Genomic DNA, 4,132 nt, shown 5'->3' on the forward strand with positions numbered 1-4,132 from the left:
CAGATATCTTGGTCAATTCATTTATTATTTCTAATAATTTACCTATACATTCTTTTTTCAACACCAACAATCATGTCATCTGCAACACAATAAATTTTATTTTTTTCTTTCCAATCCTAATATCTTTTTTTTCTTGCCTTAATGTACTGGCTAGGCCCTCCAAAGCATCTCTGCTGAAATTCTCTAACTTGTCTTTTGTCTCCTGGAACATTCTAAGCATAACTAAAGTCTGTGACAGTTTACTCCATTTTCTGGAGCCCCTGTATGTCTCTTCCTCTTGGCTATTGTTCTTGGTTTGTGTTAACTCTGTCTGGTCTTCTTATGTCCCTTAGTGCATTTGAGATTGAGTAGTGAACATTGTTTAGGATAAATATAAAACAGTAGAGGTGTCATCCTTTCCCAGTGAGCATTTGCTTCATGCAGTGGCTGGGATGCCAATAATCTTGACTCCTTGCCACTCAGTTCCAGGAACAGATGATTGGAAGTTGACTGCAGTTCATGAAGGGGCCTATTCGTTTCTGATACATGTGGCAAACAGAAGAAGAGAATGATGCGTGGTATTCTAATAAGGTCGAGGCTCTTTATTTATTGTTGTTTGTTTTTATTTAAGGGTTCCGTGCATCTTACTTTTATATTCTTTTCAACATTATTTTTTTGTTTTAAGGCACAGGTCATATGTTTTTAAGTTTATTTGGTTTTTGCAATAGACTGAGTGTTTGTTTCCCCTCCAAATTCATATACTGAAACCCTTATCCCAGTGTTATTATATTTGGAGGTGGGACCTTTGGGAGATAATTAGCTATGAGGGTGGAGCCCTGAGGAAAAAGATTAGTGCCCTAATAAGAAGTGGCTAGAGAGCTAGCTAGCTTTCTTTCATGAGAGAGTACAATAGTGTCCTTTTATCTGCAGTTTCACTTTCCACAGTTTCAGTTACCTGCGGTCAATTGCCATACAAAAATATTAAATGCAACATTCCAGGAATAACTCATATCTTGTAAACTGCATTGTTCTCAGTACCGTGTGATGAACTCTTGCATGGTTCTGCTCCATCTCGCTGGGATGGAAATCATCCCTTTGTCCAGCCTATCCCCACTGCATGCCCTATCCACCCTTTAGTCACTTAGTTGCTGTCTCTGTTATCAGATTCACTGTGGAGGTATTGCAGTGCTTGTGTTGAACTTGCTTTTATTTTACTTAATAACGGCCCCAAAGCACAAGAATAGCAATGCTAGCAATTCAGAGATGCCAAAGAGAAGCTGTAAAGTGCTTCCTTTAAGTGAAAAGGTGAAAGTTCAAGCTTAATAAGCAAAGAAAAAACATGCTGAGGCTGTTAAGATCTATTGTAAGAACACATCTGTTAAACTGTGAAGAGTATATTGTTATAATTGTTCTATTTTGCGATTAGTTACTACTGTTAATCTCTTAGTATGCCAAATTTATAAGTTAAACTTTATCAAAAGTATGTATGTATAGGAAAAAAACAGCACATATAGAGTTTGGTATTATTGCGGTTTCAGGCATCCCCGGGGTTGTTGGAACATATCCCCTAAGGATAAGAGGGGACTACTGTCCACTGAAAAGTTGGCAGTGTGAAACCGGGAAGAGAGTCCTCACCAGAATCTGACCATGCTGGCACCCTGATCTTGGACTTCCAGCCTCCAGACTGTAAGAAATAAATGTCTGACGTTCATAAGCCGCTTGTTCTATGGTACTTTGTCACAGCAATTTGAATGGAGACAGTGCTTATACTCTCTTCCTCCTCTTGCACCCTCTCTTGCTTTTTTCTGAGTTCTTTTTTCTAGATACCTCAGAATCAAAGAATAGGAGGTTTGTAGAAATAGCTGTTGATGTGAAATGTAAGAATTGCTGCTTTGGTGAATGACTTTAGTCTTTATTCCTAGGGTCCCTGGACTCTTTTATTTCTAGGGTCCCTGGACTTGTTATCATTTGAGCCTTAGGTTGCTCCTCTGGAAGGCAAACTCAGACTGAGCTCCAAAAGCATTAACTGGGCTCTCTAAGTCACTTGCAGCTTTAATAATCTATGACTATTTAGTTATTGGTTCAGGGTTCATCAAGACAAATGGGCTAAGGGTACATTGTGTGAATTCTATTTCTCATGAGACATTTCCTATCTTGCACGCCAAGTCCGGTCCCATTCTTCTCTTGTGTTAAAACTCCAAAATCTTTCATTGAAATAGAAAAAGAAATGCTGACATTGATAGCACAGTAACAATCTAAATCGGGCATGTAGCTCCTGCATGTAGTTCTGCTTTCTTTGTGCATGCGATACCTCCTAAATGTTGAACAGCAGGGGAGATAATATAGAAGCCAGTGTGCTCCACAGGGGATGGGTGGGCATGAGTCATGCCCATTGCCACCTGCTGGACTCTTCCTCCTCAAGAATCAGCTTAGTCCTTGCAAAGCATCACTATCCCCACCCCTGCTGGGGCCCCCTGTCTCAATGATGATACTGGTTCCCTTTGTCTCCGCTGTCCTGTCCCATCCTCCTGTTAAGGTAATATTTCCAATAAAGGCATGCTGAATTATTATTATTTTTTTCTTTGCAACTTCTGACCGTGATTTCACTCTTCTGGCTTTTTCTCCCAGTATTCCGTTGGTGTAGCTCTGCATCTTTGTCCTTCACTTTAGAAAATGGTAATTTATTATTTTAAATGTTTCCCAAAGGTATAAAATGCCCTCAGGTGTTTCACTTCTAAGAAGTGAACTGTTAGGAGACAAGTCACCACAATCTCCTTATGCCAGTTTAATCACAGACCGCCAGAGTATTTTTAAACTATTATTTGCATTTTTACTTCTCTAAGTGAGCCACATAGTTTTTATATTCCCTGTGGTCTTAAGCCAGCCCCCTACTCTAGTGTTATATCTCTCTGGCCCCGGATGTTTGGCAATGTGTCTTCTGAGAAATTAACCTTGCTTTTGCAATGGGAGGTTTGTCTGTTCAGCAAGACTAGAACTAAGTTAAAACGTTCAGAAAAGGAGAATTTGATTCTCTGTGATATTTTCTTAAAAAGAGCCTGGAGGTATATTATTGCAACGCTGTTTCTCTCTCTCTCTTTTCTCAGTTCATTGGTGTTCATCCTTGCTCACATTGATATAAGAGCCGCTGGGGACTCTAATAGAGCTGCTAATGCCACTTCCTTAGAGAGGACTTTTCTAATCATGTTCTGCAAAGTAGTTTCCCTTACCGTTCTGTTTCTCAGCTCCCAGTTTCTTTCCTTCACACCACTTGTAACGGTTAGTAGTTTTTTTTTTGTTTGTTTGTTTTGTTTTTTTTCAATTATTTGCTTGCCCACATCTCCGGACTTCTACCCTCTATGAGTGAGTGAGCTACTGTATTCTTGGCATATAGTGCACTGCTTTGCAACAGGAAATATTCAGTAAATTTTGGTTCAGTTAATTGATGAAAAGGAAAGGAGTTGTGGAAGTTCAAAGACTATGTTTTTCTTGCTTATGACCACTTCTTCCCCTTTTAGCTGCTTGTGTTTAATGGATGCTGGGAGTTCACACACAATGCCCTTGCTCTCCTCCCAGCGTTGTATTCAGCCTTACAGTAATTTCTCCACAGGGGGTGATGAGAGAAAGAGTGAGAAATCTCTTGAAAAGGAATCCTGATGTATCTCCTGTGGAGGATATGTGTGCACATTTAATGTGGTCCACACAGGAAGAAAATTTGTTGGGCTACATGCTTGGAAGTGGAGAGGTAAGGGGGTGGTTTCAGTGTCATTAATTGATGATGTGATAAAAATCCATATTCTTTCTGTATCTCTGCTTTGTAGTCTTGTGCCGGCTTCACTGCAGGGCAGGATGTCCTTGTGGTTGCAGCAGGTAGTTTTGGGGGCTATGTGCTTTGTTTTTCACGTCAGGTGTGTGTGTGTGAGAGAGAGAGCGAGCAAGAGATCAAGAGAGTAAGAGAGAGAGCAAGAGTGTGAGAGTAAGAGTAAGAGACAGCACCAGATCCCCAACCACTCAACAAAAGGCCTTTTCTTTTCTTTCTTTTGTTCTAATCTGATTGTTTCTAATCAAATTGGGTTGGTTACATGCCCATCTCTGAACCAGTAATTCCCTATGGCCCTTATTCAAATTTCATTTCAGTAAGGCTTACCCTGATGAC

General features: G+C 40.1%; 1 annotated feature.

Moving 5' to 3' along the window:
* Positions 3,268–3,822: an enhancer, noted in NCBI's record as "NANOG hESC enhancer chr1:95903681-95904235 (GRCh37/hg19 assembly coordinates)". NCBI's record gives its function as "activates a minimal SCP1, AML or CMV promoter by ChIP-STARR-seq in primed H9 embryonic stem cells {active_cell/tissue: H9 hESC(primed)}" and the evidence as "EXISTENCE:reporter gene assay evidence [ECO:0000049][PMID:30033119]".

The sequence above is a fragment of the Homo sapiens genome, chromosome 1 (assembly GCF_000001405.40).
Source record: "Homo sapiens chromosome 1, GRCh38.p14 Primary Assembly".
In the NCBI taxonomy this organism is placed as follows: domain Eukaryota; kingdom Metazoa; phylum Chordata; class Mammalia; order Primates; family Hominidae; genus Homo; species Homo sapiens.